Below are 18,166 nucleotides of genomic sequence, written 5' to 3' on the forward strand. Positions count from 1 at the left end.
CGCCGCGGGCCAATCCACGGCGGGGAGGGCGGGCTCACCAGGCCGGCCTCAGCGGTGCCTGGGCCAGCCGAGGGGTGGGGTGATTGGAGTCCGATCTGGACCAATGGGCAGCCGGCGGGACGGGGGCGGCGACGACAACCGCGGCCGCAAGAATCAACGCCGCGCCGGGCCAATCCGCAGCCGGGGCGGGGCGACGGCGCGCGGACCGGCCCAAACCTCCTCGCGCGCGTAGTACCCTTCCCCCCGCCCCTCCCACGCCGCAACCCCCAGGTGGAGTCGCCCCCACGCCGCGCAGGCTGCGGGAGGCTGGGGGCGGGGACCCCCACTCCAGCTAATTACAGATCGATGAATAAGGATTAGGCTGCCCAAACACTCCTCGTCCCTCCGGCCCGAACGGGCAGACGCATTGGCCCGCGTCTCGCCCAGCCTTCAGCCGTTCTCGGTTAACAGCAAGCCTGACAGCGAGTCCCCTCCACTCCAGATTAGTATCTCGAAGTTCCAGAGCAGGTACCAAGCAGGCAAACCCTTTTCCAACCCCGGCCCCATAACAGACGCTAGGCCTCTCTCTAGATGCCCTCTGGTGGCCTGGCAAGGGTGTCCTATCAAAAAAATGCACATGAGCCCGACAGTGGTGTTTTTGTTTTTGTGTGTGGGTGTGTGTCAAGTTTTAATACACGCTAGAACAAGCCACAAGAGGGTGCTGCTAGGCCAGAACTACACTCACCCCAAGCCCACCCCAGGAACCCCAAAGCAGAGGTCAGGAACTGAGTCCACAGCTCCTGGGGAGGCCCAGGCACCCCTGAACGCTTCTGTCACCTCTGACCTCCCATCTTGCCCTCAGCCTAGACTCGTCCCTTCCCTACCAGTCCCTTCCCTAGACAAAGGCCCCTCCCCTCCCTGGGTCCCAGGACTTCCTCCCTCAAGGGACAGAGGAGCAGCCAGAGAGCGACGGTTCAGGGCCCTGAGGGTCCGGCTCTCCAGGAGAAGCTGGGCTCTGAACCAGGGTGGGTAAACGTTGCAGAAGGGCTGTCAGGACACTCAGGCGCCCACACACTCCACGTAGTTGGCAGGGTACAGGCCAATGCGGCCACTCTGCAACTGGCCTTGGCACCAGCCCTGCTCGTCCTCCTCACTCATCTTCAGCAGCTCCTCCCCTGGGGGAAAGGGGATTGGTCACTGCCAGTGGCCCTGGCCCAGGCCCTGTTCCTGCAACTGGGTCAAGGACTGAGGGGGATGGTGTGGTCCCAGAGCCCAGCTAGCAAAGACATGGCTCAGGCAGAGGCAGGTCAAGGTCAGCAAGCTGCCCCACCCCAGACCCTGAATGCAGCCACCAGGCACCAGCTATCTGGACCTGGAACAGCTGAAGGGACAGAGGACTGGCCCTTAAGAAGTGGGTATTTGGCTTCCCTTTCTGACACCCCTGCTCAGGCAGATAAGGCAGAGGCTGAAGCTAGGAAAGGGGTCCCAGGGTACCTGCTCGGAAGCTCAGCTCATCAGCTTCCTGGCCAGCGTAGTCATAGAGTGCCCTCACCCGAACCCCGGTGGCAGCCTTCCGGGGACTCTCTTCATCTGACCACTCCTCATCCTGCCCCGTGCTGGAGAGGGGAGGCAAAGGGAGCAGCTCAGAGTGCAAGGAACACGGGGCTGGAGATCTCACCCAGGATCAGGGCAAAGGCCTCCCTACCCCCAGAGGCACCTGGGAGAGTCAGGTGAGGTACTAAAGATTCTAGCTCTACCTCGCCATGCCCGACTGTGAGCAAAGAGGCAATTCCTGCCACACGCAGCTGATTTAAGGCATAAACGAGAGGGAATGTGGGAAATGCCCAGCAAATCTAAACCACTATGAGAACCAGTATCATTACAACTACTAAGTAGGCCCTCAGGTCCCTGGCACCAATTTTCAACCCATTTCAGGTGTGAAAGAAATGAAACCAAGGAGAAAGGAAAGGAGGGCGGGAGGCAGAGCTGTTTCTTTGCCACAGCCGCGCTCCTGGCTCTCACCCTGGGGACCCCGGGGACTGGGGTGGGGGTGCGGTGCCATCTCTTGTAGGCACAATGCTGGTCAGGGTAACCTCATCAGGGCTCCGGCCACCCTTCTCTTTCCGGCTGATTGTCCTCTGTGTGTCCAAGGACCACTCCTGTGGGGACAGTGCTTATAGTCAGGTGGGGCCATCTGAACCACCTTCACTTACTTCATCCCTAGCCCTGGCCGAGCTGAGTGGGAGCCCATCCCACCTCCCATCCCCACCCCGCCTGGAACACATGCCTCGAACTGTGGCCAGTTCATGGCCATGCCTGGCCCGTGGGTGCTGCGCCACCAGCGCAGATCCTCTTCGTCACTGGCTGCCTCAATGCCCTGGTGCAAGTCACGGTGGAGTTCATGGAACCTATGACCCAAGGCACACCCCTCAGTCTAGGAAGTCTAGACCCTGCATCCCTCAGTCCCAGCCAGGGCCTCGGGGAGATGGAGGAGACCCAGTACTACCCCAGATCTCCATGCCCACCAGGCAGTTCATACTTCTCACTGCTGGAAAGGTCCAGGTGCTGGTGTAAGGTGAGCAGCATATCCTTGAAGAAAAGAAGCCGCTGGCGCTCGGCGGCCTGGCAGGTCTCAAAGGCCTGTTCCATGTCCTCCATGTAGCGTGGAGTGTAGCGATGCAGCTCTGCCAGCGTCTGCTCATACTGAGCTTTTGTCTGGGTGGGAGAGGAGGGGCCTGGTGAGAACCAGACCTTCTTCCACCCAGGACTCCACCAGTGTTTACCAGACACTGCCATAGGCTGCTAGACCCAGGGCTAGCCACTAGGGGCAATCAGTCCCAAGACCCAGCTCCTGCCCTCAAGGACCCCAGCAGCCTAACAAGGGAGGTGACATCAGGCACAGCATATAAAAGAGTCTGGTGAGGATTGAAATGAGGTCAACCTACAGGAAAGGATGGGAGAAATCAGAAAAGGCTTCCTGGAGGAGGTGGAAACTGCAGCATCTCAGGATGGGGAGGATTTGCATATCCAGAGCTGCAGGAAAGGACACTTCGGGCAAAGGGTACTGTGCAAGGAAAAGAGCTGGAAGTTCTCAACTGCTGAAGTCATCCCAGTGCCTGAAACTCCATTTCTTTCCCTAGTAAAGCATCACCTTTTGTCAGGTTCCTCCTTTAAATGATCATCTGGAGAGAGGGTGGCAGGTGAGGAATAGGGTAATAAGGGTGCTGGGGACTGGACAAGATGTTCAGGGAGCAAGATTCATTCAGGAAGCCGTGCCCTGGGCGGGGGCCAGGGCTGGGACCTGTGGCCTGTACCTTCTCGGCCTCCTTGGCACAGCGTTCCACCCGTTCCTGCAGTTTGCGCAGCTGCTCCTGGGAGACGGCGCTGTCTGCCTTTGCGTGGCTCTCCCTCGTCTGGGCGGTCTTCTCATCCTTCCGGGCTGCGTGGTAGCTTTTCTTGGAAGCCTCAACCTGGCATGCATGGAGACCACTCTGGACCCTGGATGCCACACCTTGGCCCCCTCGATCCCTTGCAAACAAACAGGAAGGAGCCTGTCTCGGATACCTCCCCCACCCAGCCTCACCTCCTTCAGCCTCTTCAGCCAGGGCTTCTGGGCCTTGCGGAAGCCGTCCTCGGCCGCCCGGCTCTCGCGGAAGCCGCCCAGCACAGGCCGGTGGAAAGCCCCCCGCTGCCAGGCGCGCACCCGCTCACTGTCCTGCCCTTGCAGCTTCTCCCGCACCTCCAGGTGCAGCGCGCTCAGCCGCTCAGCCGCCGTGAAAAAGGCATGCCAGGCCTTCTCCAGTGTGCCATACTGGGGGCCTGCAGGGAGGGACAGGGCTTAGGCCAGGCCTGGGTACCACCCAAAATGAGCCTAGCCCCTCTCACTGGGTGTGAGGCATGGAGGCATGGGGTACGCGCATGGGGTGCAAAGGTGAATGACAACCCTGTCAGCTGGGCTTATTGAATGAGGACCATGTGCCTTATCTCACTGACTCCTTGTCTCAGCCACCATCGTGAGGACAGCGACATTGCCAACATTGAACAGGCAAAACACTGAGGACCAGAGATGTGAACTCGCCCAAAGCATTATGGCTACAACAGGAGCTGAGGGCCGGGCACAGTGGCTCACTCCTGTAATCCCAGCACTTTGGGAGGCCAAGGCGGGTGGATCACAAGGTCAGGAGATCGAGACCATCCTGGCTAACACGGTGAAACCCTGTCTCTACTAAAACTACAAAAAATTAGCCGGGCATGGTGGCGGGCGCCTGTAGTCCCAGCTACTTGGGAGGCTGAGACAGGAAAATCACTTGAACCCGAGAGGGGGAGACTGCAGTGAGCTGAGATCACGCCGCTGTACTCCAGCCTAGGTGACAGAGCGAGACTCTATCTCAAAAAAAAAGAAAAAAAAGAGGAGCTGAGATTCAAACCCATCTCTGTTGTGTAAACACTACACTCCATTGCCTCAAAGGAAGAGCCTGTGTGTGCCCTCGAGGAAGACAGCTTGCAGGGTGGAAAGATCCATGCTCCCAGTCAGAGGGCCTGGGCTCAACCTTCAGCACTTCCTAGCTGTGTGCCTTTAGGCAAGTCCCTTAGCCTCTCTGAGCTTCCAGTTTCTCCTCTAGAAAATGCATAAAACAGGCCCAGGTGCGGTGGCTCATGCCTGTAATCCAGGCCGGGCACGGTGGCTCACGCCTGTAATCTCAGCACTTTGGGAGGCCAAGGAGAAAGGACCGCTAGAGCCCAGGGGTTCAAAACCAGTCTGAGCAACATAGCAAAACCCTATCTCTACAAAAAATACAAAAATTAGCCAAGTGTGGTGGTCCATGCCTGTGATCCCAGCTATTGTGGTCCCAGCTATTCAGGAGGCTGAGGTGGGAGGATCAGTTGAGCGTGGGAGAGGGAGAGGTTGCAGTGATCCATGATTGTACCACTGCACTCCAGCCTGGTGACAGAGTGAGACCCTGTCTCAAAATAAATAAATAATAAACAAAGGAAAGAAGGCCAGATGCAGTGGCTCACGCCTGTAATCCCAGCACTTGGGGAGGCTGAGGTGGGTGGATTACCTGAGGTCAGGAGTTTGAGACCAGCCTGGCCAACATGGTAAAACCCCGTCTTTACTAAAAATACAAAATTAGCCAGGCGTGGTGGTGGGTGCCTGTAATCCCAGCTACTTGGGAGGCTGAAGCAGGAGAACCACTTGAGAGGCGGAGGTTGCAGTGAGCCAACATCATGTCACTGCACTCCAGCATGGGCAACAAGTGCAAAACGTCTCAAAAAAAAAAAAAAAAGAAAGGAAAGAAAATGGGTAAAACAACCATCTCCACAGGGTTGTTGCAACTATCAAAGTAACTCATGAGCATCCTTTATAAACTTTAATAACACCACAGCCATGAGGATGACCAGGAGGATCTTCCCTTTCTAAGGGAGGGTAGACGTGGAGGCCTCAAACTTCCCACGAGACGTGCAAAAAGAAGCTGGCCCGACAGTCCTGCACTCAGCTGCCCTCTGCCCCCTGCGAGGGCCTGGCTCACCCTTCTCCACGGTCCCCCTCCACTTTCGGGCCCAGTCAGCCAACTGCTGGGCATAAGCCTTCTCGATGCGGGCGCGCTCCTGGAAGCAGCTGACCAGGTCCCCGCACAGCCGGTGCCCGTCCTCCACCCGCTGTACCGTGCGCCTGTAGTTGCCAGCCTGGGCATACAGGAAAAGGGTGCCATCACCAGGGAGAAGCTTCCTTTGGGGCTGGGGCTGTCAGATGGGCTCCTCCCCTAGACAAGTAGCTGAGCCCAGGACCCAGCTGCTCACCTCCCAGAAACTGCCCCCTAAGGCCTCCCCTCCAGCGTCCTCTTCTGGAGCCATGGTGTCCCCGCAGCACGGAATGGTGGCGGATTTGGGGCTGTGGAGGGCAGAGGGGTAAGCAGGAAAGCTGGACATTATGTTTCTGGGGATAGGAAAAGACCCTCTCTATACCTGGGCCTCGCCCCACTGCCATCCCCACCACCCAAGGAGTCATCAGAGCTAGGACTTAGCAGGCAGGGTGCTGAAGACCCTAAGAAGGGCCAGGATGGGTGAGGATGGAGTCTCAAAGCTCTTCCTCTCACTGCTCTGCACTTCCCCCCCCGCCCCCCCACATACCTGGGGCCTAGAGATCACTTCAAGGACCCGGGTGTCCAACTCTCAATGCTGCCACCGTGACTCTGCCTTGAAGGAGAACAGAGCGGGGGTGAGGGTGGGGGCCTAGAGCGTCCAGGGCGGTGCCCGGCACCCCCAATATAGCAACTGCTGTCAGAAGCGCCGGATTCCAGGGAGGAGAATGCCAGGCAGGTCACACGATCCAGCCAGGGATTAAATGGCAGGCGGGGGTGGGCGGTGGGCAGAAGGCCCCACTCCCCCAACTGCCGATGAGAGGACTCCTGCCCAGGCTAGGGCCTCTGTTGCCTTCCCTTGAGTGACAAGACAACCCTGTTACCCGAGAGGCCAAGTCAGAGGGTGCCTGGCCACATCCCAGTAGCTCCCTGTACTGAGGAGGGCACGAAGGGAACCAAGAGGCCTGGCTTCTGTGTTGGCCAGGAAGCCCGAACAAGTGTATGTAACTGTCTCCTCCTAAGGAGGCCCCAGCTCCCTCTAAGATGGAACTCCTCTGTGTGCTCAGCTGCCATGCCAGGGCTGGTGTGAAACTCAAACCAAGCAACGCACCAGAAATACGAGGGGCCCTGCAGTCACGGAAGATACTCATCTCACTCCACACATCCACTGAGGGCCCGCAAGGCTCCGTGGGGAACACACAACCCGGGCCTGCCCTCCAAAGGCCTGGCGTCCAGGGCAGCATGGGGAAGTGAGAAGCGATGGCCAACTATAAGAATGTCTCCCAGGCTGGGTGTGGTGGCTCACGCCTGTAATCTCAGCACTTTGGGAGACTGAGGTGGGTGGATCACCTGAGGTCAGGAGTTCCAGACCAGCTTGGCCAACATGGAGGAACCTCGTCTCTACTAAAAATATAAAAATTAGCCAGGCGTGGTGGCGGGAACCTGTAGTCCCAGCTACTTAGGAGGCTGAGGCATGAGAATCACTTGAACCTAGGAGGCGGAGGAGGTTGCGGTGAGCAGAGATTATACCACCGCCTGGGCAACAGAGTGAGACTGTCTCAAAAAAAAAAAAAAAAGTTCCCTAGAATCGCAGAGGACGGCAAGCCAATTCCAACCCCAGAGCCATGGCCCCAGGGACTCAAGGACACAGTGGCATGTGGCTGCTCCCCTCCTGCCTCTGGGCAGGGTCTCAGCTGTCCCCAGCACTGACTGACTCACAGACCCTAGAAGGAAATCGCTTCCTCTCTGAGCAGGCCCAAGGGACACAGCCAGACCCAGGAGGACAGTGTGCGCCCTTTGTCCCCAAAGCAGGGCGCTGTCACAGCGCTTCCTCCAAACTCATGCACCTCTGCTTCTCCTTCAAACCTCCAATTAAGGCATCTTCTCCTCAGTCACTTCCCCTGTTTCTCTGTCCTTGCTCCTGTAGCCCCGGGTGACCCTTCAGCCGGGGTGTATAACCCATGGAGTTGTGGCTGACAGGACAGTGTCTATCTTCAGTCACCGACAGAGGCTTCCAGGATTCTGATTTGTGTGTCCCCACGCGCTGGAATCAGCAATAATTAGTTAAGTGAGAAAAGAAGCGATGTCCACCTGGAGCGCAGGAAACGCGCCCGCTCCAGCAGCTGTGGGAATGCTTGGTCCAAGTGGGCTTCCCCCTCTGCTAACAGGAGACAGAGCTAGGGGCTCCGCGGAGACCCAGGCAATGGAGGTGCCCACCAGGGGCCTCACAAGCTCGTCACTTGGTTCCCTCTGCAGTGTGTCCTGTCTGCCCAGAAAGGACCTGACAGGGCGATGGAGAGAAAGAGAGCTGCTGCCATGAATCACAGGGCTCTGGAGCCGCCCCAGTCCAGCCTCAGGAGCCTGGGGCCCCTTGCCTGTTCCAGCCTCCGAGTTCCCTGCTCCCCAGAGAGCTGCCCCCCACCCCTTCCCTCTCTCTGGCCCCAGAACAGAGCAAGCTGTGTGTACCGGGCTGGCACAGCTCCCTCCGGCCTCCCAGAGCAAACACAGGCCCAAGCCCCGGGTGCAGCCAGGCCCCACAGCCCCAGCCTGACCTCTCAGCAAGCAAGCAAGGAGGGCTTGCACCTTGGCCCCCATTGAGCAGGTTGGCACCCTGTGCCTCCTGAGCTCAGCAGAGACCCAAATCAGTCCCCACCGCAGGCAAGAGCTCAGAAAGCAGGTAATGCAATCTTCCCAGCCCCGGGAGCCAGCACGTTCGGCTCCGAGAGGTCTTCCTGGGCTTGGCAGGGTCTCCTTGCAGCTGCACGGGCCAAGGTAGGAAGTCCCTGGTTCAGGGAAGACCCAGTCTCCCTACCTGAGGCCTGAAGGTACCCGGCCCCAGACCAGCCCCAACCTCTTCCAGAAGCTGGGGGCTTGCCCCTGGGAGGGAGCTCAGCCATTCTGCCTGGCCCATCCCTGGAACCTGAGTCACAGGCTGCGCCCAAGGGCTTCTTTCCCGGGCAGCCCCTCCCGGTGCGCCCGCAGCTCTAGGATTTGAGGACAGAGCGGGGGGGAGGGGAGGGGGCGTCAGTAGGCTGGTCCGAAGAGGGACAGCGAGGTTAGAGGGGCTGGAACCAGAAGCCAGAGCCAGCCAGGAGATCAGGAGGCTGGGGGAGGGGGTGGCGCAGCCAAAGCGGGAGGAGGCAGGGCCAGGGAGGGGCATAACAAAGGGGCACTTTTGGAAACCCGACCTGCCGGCCGGGGTGCCTGCTTCCAGATGACGCACTCCGAACCCCAGCCTCCACTCCAGAGCTCGGCGCCCAGAGGCTACGCGCCTCTGGCCTCAACCCTTATGGACCGCGCCCCTCGACAGGACCCCTTGCCGCCCGGAGCTGCATAACTCGGAGCCCGTGGAGCCACGCGGAGCGGCAGGGCCAGGCCTAGCCACCGAAGCTCTAGACTTCTTGGCCAAACTTGTTGAACTTGGTCTTGGCGGGGGTGGGGCCACTGATCACCGCCAAGGGGAGGGGACGCCCCCTGCCTGGGCCGGCCTTGCCGTGGGCTCCAGATGGTGGCCCCGGGCAGCGGACCCAGGAATCGGGGCTCGCTGCATAGGGCGAGGGATCGCCAGGGAGCGAGGACCCTCTGGGGCCTCGGGGCGGGCGCGAGGCGAGCGGACGGGGGCCCTCGAGGGGCCCCTGAAGACGGCTCAGCCCTCCAGCGCCGGCGCCGCCTCCCCCGGGCGGCCTGCGGAATTGCGAAGCCCGCGGCACCGCAGATGGGACGGCCCCTCGGCGCGGCTACGGCCCTTCCCGTCGGCACGCAGAGCGGGGTGGCCGGGGGCTCCCTGGGCGGGAGTCGGCTCCATTGCAAACTTCAGAAGCCGGAGCAGGAGAGGGCGGGCTCGAGCCACCGCACCCGCCGCCGCCTACCCGCGCGTCCCCTCCAGGGCACTCACCGCGTCCTCCCTGGGCCCCTCGGCGGGTGGGGGTCCGGCCACGCTCCGGCCCGAGTCCTGCCGCTCCTGGGCCCGCGCCGCGGCCTCCCGGAGCGCGCCGGGCCCTCCCCCGGGAAGCCCGGCCCCCGGCCCCCGGCCCCGCCCCTCTCCTGGCCGCCGCTGCCTCAACCCCACGCGGCGGGGCAGCGGGGCTGCAGGCATCGCGGCGACCAGCGGCTCTTGTGGCGCGGGTCGAGGTTTCTCTGCTTCGCCCGTGTGCGGAGTGCCTGGGCGGGCTCCCCAGGGTTGCGCCCCGGTGCCGCAGGGAGCCAGATTTCGGCTTTGCCTCTCCCGGACCGTTGCAGAGCCTGGGAGACCCGAGGGAGCAAGAAGGGACCGGGCCGGCACGGGCAGCCTTGGAGAGGGGCCGGGGGAATTACACTGCCTTACATTTTTAGCTGCACAGCTTGTTTAGAAATTGGCTCAGGCGAGGCTCACAACCACCCCTTGTAAGCATTAGGATTCCCACTGTACAGATGCAAAAACTGAGGCTCGGGGGCTTTTCAGAGGCTTGCCCAAGATTTCCCTCTAGTCAGGCAGGGCTGGGACTCCAAAACCGTGCCCTACCGTTCCACAGCTGCCCTGCTAATCTGGGGCGCCTTCTAAGGCCTGAGACGAACACGCGGTGGGGGTGGGACAAAAAGGCCTAAGCTCCTCCCGCTCCGAGTTCTTATTTCCAGATTTTGTACCACGATTCATTCTTACCCTTCGCCCCTCCACCCCCTTTATCAGTCTGGTACATTTTTCCATATCGCCACGATGCCACCCCACGCTAAATAAATCCCTTCTCCCTCCTCTCTCCCTACTTCCCTCTCCCCGCTTTCCCCCGGGGGTGAGATTTTGCAGAGCGGCTCCGTCTGTTATTTATATCCACTGGAGCGGTCCAAGAATGTTCCGAAGCTGACCTAATCGCCACCTGCTCGGCCTCTCCGCCCCTCCCACTCTCTCCTGGGCCCGGTGACCCAGCGGCGGTGCCCTGAGCCTTGAAGACCAGGGGGAGCGCGGACCAACGGGGTCGAACGCCCGGGCGCAGAAGGTCCCGGACGCAGAAGGTCCCGGGCGCGCAGAATCGCAGCGGGTCGGAGAGCCCCGGCGCTCTCAGAGGAGTGCGCCCCCAGGGACGCGGCTCTGAGCCCTGGGAAGCTGAGGCGCCTGGCTGCGCCCTCTGAAGCTCGTACTTTTCCTCCCACCCTCAGCTCCCTGAAGAGTGTGAGTGCGTGCGCGCGGAGTTTTAAACGGCAGCTTTAAAAATAGCAAAATTATGTTGTTTCTAAATCCAGGAGGAATCACTGACGCGTTCTTTACGCAGATGAATCCGCTCACAAAACGGGAAAGGGACCTGGAGAAAATGAATGGGGGTAATTTTGCCTGCCGAGGGCTCACTTGCTGGGCAGTGCTAATGGAAGGGTAAAACTGCCTCCCCAAGACACCTGTGGGGCACCCAAGGCGCGCCACCTTTGGCCTGAGGATTCTGGCCGTGTTTGGCAAATCATAGCTGAGTAGTGAATCTGAAACCTGGGATGTGGTTTCTGAGACCAATTTCAACACCCACTCTCTCTTAGGGCTTGGACAAGTCCCTTATCTCTATTTCTACCTCTATAAAACATGACAGGTGACCAGCTGACCTTCCGCTGAGCCATGAGCCCCAGCTAATTAATGATTGTAAAAAACAACTGCAGATCAGAGGAGCTGGGAAAATGGCAAATCACAGCCACAGGGTTTTGTATTCTTTAAAATCAGTTAACATCCCTCCTAGCGCCTGAAGGCCTTTAGGCACCTAGACCGAAGTGTGAAAACACAAGAATGAAATTAATTACAGGAGCCACCTATTAAAACCTCATTAAAAATAAAGTTGGCAGCCAGGCTGTGGGATCTGGGAAAGCCAGGCCATAGAGAGACTCAGAAAACAGGGCTGTTCATCAGACCACAAAGAGAAGGGGATGTGGACTGGAAAACATCTGGCTTCCCTTGGGCTCAAGTCTGGGAGCAGAAAGCAGAAATGTTGCAGCTGATCTTAATTGCCCCTGAGGTACTGTAGGGGAAAAAAAACAACAAAATAAAACCCAGAGCATAGGGGGCTGCTTCTAAGCTGAAAGTAGACAGACATGCCTTTGGAAAGCCAGCTCCAAGCTAATGCTACCCCCAGGGCTCCCATTCTGCGCTCTATGGCCAGAGCCCTTAACATCCACACTGCTCCATCAGTGCTGTCCTCAACCCAGAGTTCAAGATGAGATGTCAGTGGACAGAGGGCTGCATAAAGACAGAAATCTGGTCGGGCGCGGTGGCCCACGCCTGTAATCCCAGCATTTTGGGAGGCCGAGGCGGGTGGATCATCTGAGGTCAGGAGTTTGAGACCAGCCTGGCCAACATGGTGAAACCCCATCTCTACTAAAAATACAAAAATTAGCTGGGCATGGTGGCGGGTGCCTGTAATCCCAGCTACTTAGGAGGCTGAGGCAGGAGAATCGCTTGAACCTGGGAGGTGGAGGTTGCAGTGAGCTGAGATCGTGCCATTGCACTCCAGCCTGGGCGACAAGAACAAAACTCCATCTCAAAAAGAAAAAGAAAAAAAATGACAGAAATCTAAGGCTGGGCACAGTGGCTCACGCCTGTAATGCCAGCACTTTGTGAGGCTGAGGCAGGTGGATCACCTGAGGTCAGGAGTTCAAGACCAGCCTGGCCAATAATGAAACCCCATCTCTACTAAAAACACAAAAAAACTAGCAGGCGTGGTCGTGGACGCCTGTAGTCCCAGCTACTTGGGAGGCTGAGACAGGAGAATTGCTTGAACCCGGGAGGCTTAGGTAGCTGAGATTGCGCCACTGCTCTCCAGCCTGGTCGAAGGAAACTTTCTCTCAAAAAGAAAAAAAGACAAATCTAGCAAGGCATTTGGCTCAGGGTACCAATGGGCAGATTGGTCCATAGCCAGATTTCACGCCACTCACAGACTCACCTTGAGTTTCTGGAATATCCTAACCACTGTGCCTTCATTTGTTTATTTATGCATTCATTCACCCAGCCAAGAAAACACTTGAGTTTTTACTCCATGCTAAGGCTATGCTAGGAATGTTGGGAGTACAAAGTTAAATAAGGCAGAGTCCAAGTGTACCGTAATGATGCAAGGCAGATAGGAAGTATTGAGAGAAAACAGGCAGAAGGGACGGCCTTTCACAGGACATGACACTGATAGGTCTTGATGAGTAGGAATTAGTCACGTGGACAGGCATTCTAGGCAGGAGCTTCAGGGTGTGCCAAGCCCCAGGGGTGTTACCATATGACTTTGTGACCTAGCAATTCTACTTTTTGGTATTTACCCTGGACGAACATGTACAAATGCAGAAAGAGGTACAATGATGTTTGCATATAGTACTGTTTGCAACAGGGGAGAACTGAAAACAAATGTTCATCATGAAGGCAATAGTTGAACAACCTAAAGTTCATTCATGCTGTGGATTACTCTGCAAAAACTCAAGAACAAGCTAGAGGCAGGAGTTCGAGACCAGCCTGGCCAACAAAGTGAAACCCCTTCTCTACTAAAAATACAAAAATTAGCCAGGTGTGGTGGCGTGTGCCTTTAGTCCCAGCTACTTGGGAAGCTGAGACAGGAGAATCGCTTGAACCCAGGAGGCGGAGGTTGCAGTGAGCTGAGATTGCGCCATTGCACTCCAGCCTGGGAAGCGAGAGCAAAACTCCATCTCAAACAAAAACAAACCAAAAAAAAAAAAAAAAAAAAAAAAAGAACAAGGTAGAGAGAGACATATTCTTTTTTTTTTTTTTTCGAGACGGCGTCTTGCTCTGTCGCCCAGGCTGGAGTGTAATGGCGCAATCTCAGCTCACTGCAACCTCCACCTCCCGGGTTCAAGCGATTCTCCTGCCTCAGCCTCCTGAGTAGCTGGGATTACAGGCACGTGCCACCACGCCTGGCTAATTTTTGTATTTTTAGTAGAGACGGGGTTTCACCATGTTGGTCAGGCTGGGCTCAAACTCCTGACCTCATGATCCACCCGCCTTGGCCTCCCAAACTGCTGGGATTACAGACATGAGCCACCGCACCCAGCCAAGAGATGTATTCTTATAAGAAGACCTCCAAGACGATGTCAAGGGAAAAAAGCAAAATGCAAAACACACTAAATCTTCACAGAAAATATACTTCATACTGATTTTGGCGTTTATCTTTAGGCAGAGGTCTAGAATTGGTAAGGGACATTTTTGTAATGTTAGAAAATTTACAATGAGAATGTACCTATGTGTAAATTATGTAACTAAAATTAAAAACTGGGGGGTGGGCGAGTGGGTATTTGTATCTAAAATAGTGCTGTCCAATTATTTTCTGCAGTGGTGGGAATGTTCTATAGCTGTGCTGGCCAATATGATAGCCACTAGTAGCATGAGACTGTTGAGCACTTGAAATGTGGCTATTGAAAACATAAACTTGCCGGGTGCAGTGGCTCACGCCTGTAATCCCAGCACTTCGGGAGGCCGAGGTTGGGTGGATCACCTGAGGCTGGGAGTTCAAGACCAGCCTGACCAACATGGAGAAACCCCATCTCTACTATACAAAATTAGCCGGGCATGGTGGCTCATGCCTGTAATCCCAGCTACTCAGGAGGCTGAGGCAGGAGAATTGCTTGAACCTGGGAGGCGGAGGTTGTAGTGAGCTGGGATTGCTCCATTGCACTCCAGCCTGGGCAACAAGAGCGAAACTCCGTCTCAAAAAAAAAAGAGAAAACATAAACTTTTAATTAAAAAAAAATTTTTTTAACAACTGGTAATCAATTTATTAAAATTGTTGACTTAAGCATCCTGCAATGGTGACTTCCACCTCAACTCCTGGCTCAATACTGATGGAAGTAATCTGCTTAACAATCTCAGAAGGACTGTGCAAGTCAATGAGTCGCTGGTGGATTCTCATCTGGAAACGATCCCATGTCTTAGAACCTTCACCACAAGGGGTTTTTCTTGTAGTGATTCTCAAAGTCTTGGTAAGCATTCGGACTGGTCCTTTCACTTTGAGATTCTTTTCCTTTGCGCCTCTGATCAAGTCAGCACACACCTTTTCCAGGGATTTTATGTTGCGGCTTGTTAGGGTGATTCGAATTCAGTGAATCGCCACCTCCGGCTCCACGGGTGTTTTTCCGGTATCCTTAAAAGCCATGGCTGCTGCGTGGCTTCCTGACCGACTTTTTCCTCAGCGAGAGTGAACAGCAGTGAGTCAGGAGCAGGAGAGTGCGGACGAGAGACTCACAGCACCTACGACCGCGTCTTCCTCCAATTTAAAAATTTTGAAATTAGGCCAGGCGTGGTGGCTCATGCCTGTAATCCCAGCACTTTGGGAGGCCGAGGCAGGAGGACCACTTTAGGCCAGGAGTTCGAGACCAGCCTGGCCAAGATGGTGAAACCACGTCTCTACTAAAAATACAAAAATTAGTCTGGCATGGTGGTATGCACCTATAGTCCCAGCTACTCAGGGCAGGGCTGAGGCAGGCGAATTGCTTGAACTCAGGAGGCAGAGGTTATAGTGAGCCAAGATTGTACCACTGCAGTCCAGCCTGGATGACAGAGCGAGACTCTATGTCAAAAAAAAAAAAGAAAAATTAGCTGAGTGTCGTGGCACATACCTGTAGTGCCAGCTACTGAGGAGGCTGAGGTCACCGGAGCCTGAGAGGTCAAGGCTGCAGTGAGCAGTGATTGGGCCACTGCACTCCAGCCTGGGCAACAGAGTGGGATCCTGTCACAAAAAAAAAAAAAAAAAAAAAAAAAAAAAATTAACAACTACATGTGAGTAGTGGCTACTGTATTGGACTGTGCAGGTCTCGAATCTCTAGAATAATGAGGTCATGATGGGGTGGAGGTATCAGAGGCATTTGAACCAGAGAGACTCCAGCTTGAATAGGGGCTGGGTAAAATAAGGCTCAGACCTACTGGGCTGCATTCCAAGGAGGTTAGGCATGCTGAGTCCAGCTGATAAAAGGATGCGATAAAGAAGCTGGCCAAAACCTACCAAAACCAATATGGCAATGTGACCTCTGGTCATCCTCACTACTCATTATACGCTAAATCTAATACATTAGCATGCTAAAAGACACTCCTACCAGTGCCAGGACAGTTTACGGATGCCATGGCAATGTCAGAAATTTACTCTATGTAGTCTAAAAAAGGGAGAAACCCACAGTTCCGGGAATTGCCCACCCCTTGACCAGAAAGCTCCTGAATAATCCACCCCTTGTTTAGCATATAATCAAAAAATAACTTAAGTATTCTTAGGGCCGGGCGCAGTGGCTCACGCCTGTAATCCCAGCACTTTGGGAGGCCAAGGCGGGTGGATCACGAGGTCAGGAGATCAAGACCATCCTGGCTAACAAGGCGAAACCCCGTCTCTACTAAAAATACAAAAAATTAGCCAGGCGTGGTGGCGGGCGCCTGTAGTCCCAGCTACTTGGGAGGCTGAGGCAGGAGAATGGGGTGAACCCAGGAGGCGGAGCTTGCAGTGAGCCGAGATAGCGCCACTGCACTCCAGCCTGGGCGACAGAGCGAGACTCCGTCTCAAAAAAAAAAAAAAAAAAGGTATTCTTAGGTGAGCAGCCCTTGCTGCTGCTCTGCCTGTGGAGTAGCTTTTTTTTTTTTTTTGAGACAGAGTCTTATTCTGTCACCCAGGCTGGAGTGCAGTGGTGCGACCTCAGCTCACTGCAACCTCTGCCTTCTGGGTTCAAGCGATCCTCCTGCCTCAGCCACCAAAGTAGTTGAGATTACAGGTGTGCACCACCATGCCTGGCTAATTTTTGTATTTTTGTAGAGACGGGTTATTGCCATGTTGGCCAGGCTGGTCTCAAACTCCTGACCTCAGGTGATCCACTTGCCTCAGCCTCCCAAAGTGCTGAGATTACAGGCATAAGCCACCGTTCCTGGCCAGAGTAGCCATGCTTTATTCCTTTGCTTTCTTAATAAACTTGCTCTCACTTTATTCTATGGATTCGCCTCAAATTCTCTTTCACCAGACCCAAGAACCCTCTCCTGGGGTCTGGATCAGGACACCTTTCTGGTAACAGAAGCAGATGGAAGATGAAGCTGGAAAGATAGGTTGGGATTGGATGGTGAAGATTTGCAAAGTGGGCTAGGGAATTTGGACGCTACCCTATAGGCAGTGGGAAGTGTCCATGAGAGTAGGTAGATCAGATTTCCCCTTTTATTTTATTTATTTATTTTTTTGAGACAGAGTCTCGCTCTGTCGCCCAGGCTGGAGTGCAGTGGTGCAATCTTGGCTCACTGTAACCTCCGCCTCCCGGGTTCAAGCAATTCTCCTGCCTCAGCCTCCCAAGTAGCTGGGATTACAGATGCCTGCTACCATGGCTAATTTTTGTATTTTTAGTAGAGACGGGGTTTCATCATCTTGGCCAGGCTGGTCTTGAACTCCTGACCTCGTGATCCACCTGCCTTGGCCTCCCAAAGTGCTGGGATTACAGGCATGAGCCACGGCGCCCAGCCAGATTTCCCCTTTTTAATGATAACTCTGGCCACCCTGCCGAGAGTAGATCAGAGCCGGCTAAGTGCTGCAGGCAGGGCTGTCTCCTCTGAAGGCTGCTTTGTGAGTTTCCCTCCGTGGCCTCTGGACATTGCCCCAGGATTCCTGACAGGCAGCTGAGTAAAGTATTCTAATTTCACAGCTATGTTTTTCAGAGCTCAGGCAGTCCCGTGTAAAGACTGGTCCCAGTTATTGAGAGCAGTTAACCTCAGTGGGGCAGGCTGTTTATAGGTTACCAAGGCAGACCGATGGCACTCGGGTGAAAATGAATCGCAGGTTTCAACAGTGCAGCCTATAGAGAAAGTTTCTCCAGGGTCAGGAAGTTACCCTATTAAAAAAAAAAAAAATGATGTTACCCTATATAGTCTAAAAAGGGGAGGAACCGGTAGTTCCGGGAATCTGCCATTGCCCCAGGCAGATTCTTTAGCTGGTCCCCGCCTCAGCAGGAGACGCCCCAGGAGTTGCCATTGTGTACTCCGGGTTTCAGCTCTGTTGGCCGGGAGGCTCCTGCTCCAGAAGCCTACCCTGGTGCACTTGGGCACCCATTGTGTGACCAACACCAGGCTGGGTGCTCAGTCCTTAATTCGAAGAAAGCAGGCCAGGTGCGGTGGCTCACGCCTGTAATCCAAGCATTTTGGGAGGCCGAGGAGGGTGGATCACTTGAGGTCAAGAGTTCAAGACCAGCCTGACCAACATGGTGAAACCCTGTCTCTACTAAAAATACAAAAATTAACCGGGCATAGTGGCGCACGCCTGTAGTCCCTGCTACTCAGGAGACTGAGGCAGGAGAATTGCTTGAACCGGGGAGGCAGAGGTTGCAGTGAGCTGAGATGGCGCCACTACACTCCAGCCTGGGTGACAGAGCGAGACTCCGTCTCAAGACAAAAAAAGAAAGCAGACAAGATGTCTACTTCATGGAATTTTCCACTGAAATCAAATAAAGGTCCAAAAACATCATTACCAATTGTCATGAGTGTTTGAAGGAAAAAAAAAAGGGACAGTGTGCTGGAAGAGGATAGTGGGAGTGTGGCTTCAGGGAGTTTAAGCCTCCACCCAAAAAGACCCAGAAGACAAATGGAAGTTAAGAAGGTGAAGAGGGGACCTAGGGAACGGCATTCCAGGCGGAACAACTGAAGACTGATGTATGAAAAG

The 18,166-nt window shown here is 55.4% G+C and overlaps 1 protein-coding gene, 1 non-coding gene and 1 pseudogene across 12 annotated transcripts, besides 9 other annotated features; all 3 read right to left on the reverse strand.

The window, feature by feature from the left end:
• Nucleotides 15-444: a silencer, noted in NCBI's record as "silent region_3321". NCBI's record gives its function as "represses an Ori minimal core promoter by ATAC-STARR-seq in GM12878 lymphoblastoid cells {active_cell/tissue: GM12878}" and the evidence as "EXISTENCE:reporter gene assay evidence [ECO:0000049][PMID:35858748]".
• Nucleotides 506-1,087: an enhancer, noted in NCBI's record as "H3K27ac-H3K4me1 hESC enhancer chr11:47198949-47199530 (GRCh37/hg19 assembly coordinates)". NCBI's record gives its function as "activates a minimal SCP1, AML or CMV promoter by ChIP-STARR-seq in naive H9 embryonic stem cells {active_cell/tissue: H9 hESC(naive)}" and the evidence as "EXISTENCE:reporter gene assay evidence [ECO:0000049][PMID:30033119]".
• Nucleotides 506-1,114: a biological region, named in NCBI's record as "H3K27ac-H3K4me1 hESC enhancer GRCh37_chr11:47198949-47199530".
• PACSIN3 (protein kinase C and casein kinase substrate in neurons 3) lies at nt 630-9,542 on the reverse strand. 11 transcript variants are annotated; one of them, XM_047426857.1, is made up of 12 exons: nt 9,457-9,542; nt 7,409-7,605; nt 6,112-6,177; nt 5,782-5,872; nt 5,511-5,667; nt 3,563-3,798; nt 3,294-3,449; nt 2,519-2,694; nt 2,267-2,387; nt 2,002-2,138; nt 1,474-1,595; nt 630-1,154 (listed from the first exon to the last, which is right to left on the reverse strand). In XM_047426857.1, exons 4-12 carry the CDS (start codon nt 5,833-5,835, stop codon nt 1,039-1,041), a joined length of 1,275 nt encoding a protein of 424 aa, XP_047282813.1. In that variant the 5' UTR covers nt 5,836-5,872; nt 6,112-6,177; nt 7,409-7,605; nt 9,457-9,542; the 3' UTR covers nt 630-1,038. The 11 variants fall into 11 exon arrangements, with proteins under 11 accessions (XP_047282813.1, XP_047282810.1, XP_047282811.1 ...); XM_047426854.1 differs by having other exon boundaries at nt 5,782-5,917; XM_047426855.1 differs by lacking the exons at nt 7,409-7,605; nt 9,457-9,542 and adding exons at nt 7,653-7,842; nt 8,374-8,483 and having other exon boundaries at nt 5,782-5,917.
• Nucleotides 935-984: an enhancer, noted in NCBI's record as "active region_4689". NCBI's record gives its function as "activates an Ori minimal core promoter by ATAC-STARR-seq in GM12878 lymphoblastoid cells {active_cell/tissue: GM12878}" and the evidence as "EXISTENCE:reporter gene assay evidence [ECO:0000049][PMID:35858748]".
• Nucleotides 1,065-1,114: an enhancer, noted in NCBI's record as "active region_4690". NCBI's record gives its function as "activates an Ori minimal core promoter by ATAC-STARR-seq in GM12878 lymphoblastoid cells {active_cell/tissue: GM12878}" and the evidence as "EXISTENCE:reporter gene assay evidence [ECO:0000049][PMID:35858748]".
• Nucleotides 2,719-2,845, reverse strand: MIR6745 (microRNA 6745). Its single transcript, NR_106803.1, has one exon. It is a non-coding gene; the product is annotated as a microRNA 6745 (primary transcript).
• Nucleotides 9,171-9,490: a silencer, noted in NCBI's record as "silent region_3322". NCBI's record gives its function as "represses an Ori minimal core promoter by ATAC-STARR-seq in GM12878 lymphoblastoid cells {active_cell/tissue: GM12878}" and the evidence as "EXISTENCE:reporter gene assay evidence [ECO:0000049][PMID:35858748]".
• Nucleotides 9,171-10,198: a biological region, named in NCBI's record as "H3K27ac hESC enhancer GRCh37_chr11:47207755-47208641".
• Nucleotides 9,312-10,198: an enhancer, noted in NCBI's record as "H3K27ac hESC enhancer chr11:47207755-47208641 (GRCh37/hg19 assembly coordinates)". NCBI's record gives its function as "activates a minimal SCP1, AML or CMV promoter by ChIP-STARR-seq in primed H9 embryonic stem cells {active_cell/tissue: H9 hESC(primed)}" and the evidence as "EXISTENCE:reporter gene assay evidence [ECO:0000049][PMID:30033119]".
• Nucleotides 9,541-9,640: a silencer, noted in NCBI's record as "silent region_3323". NCBI's record gives its function as "represses an Ori minimal core promoter by ATAC-STARR-seq in GM12878 lymphoblastoid cells {active_cell/tissue: GM12878}" and the evidence as "EXISTENCE:reporter gene assay evidence [ECO:0000049][PMID:35858748]".
• RPS20P26 (ribosomal protein S20 pseudogene 26) lies at nt 14,254-14,767 on the reverse strand (annotated as a pseudogene).

Source organism: Homo sapiens, chromosome 11, assembly GCF_000001405.40.
Source record: "Homo sapiens chromosome 11, GRCh38.p14 Primary Assembly".
NCBI lineage: Eukaryota > Metazoa > Chordata > Mammalia > Primates > Hominidae > Homo > Homo sapiens.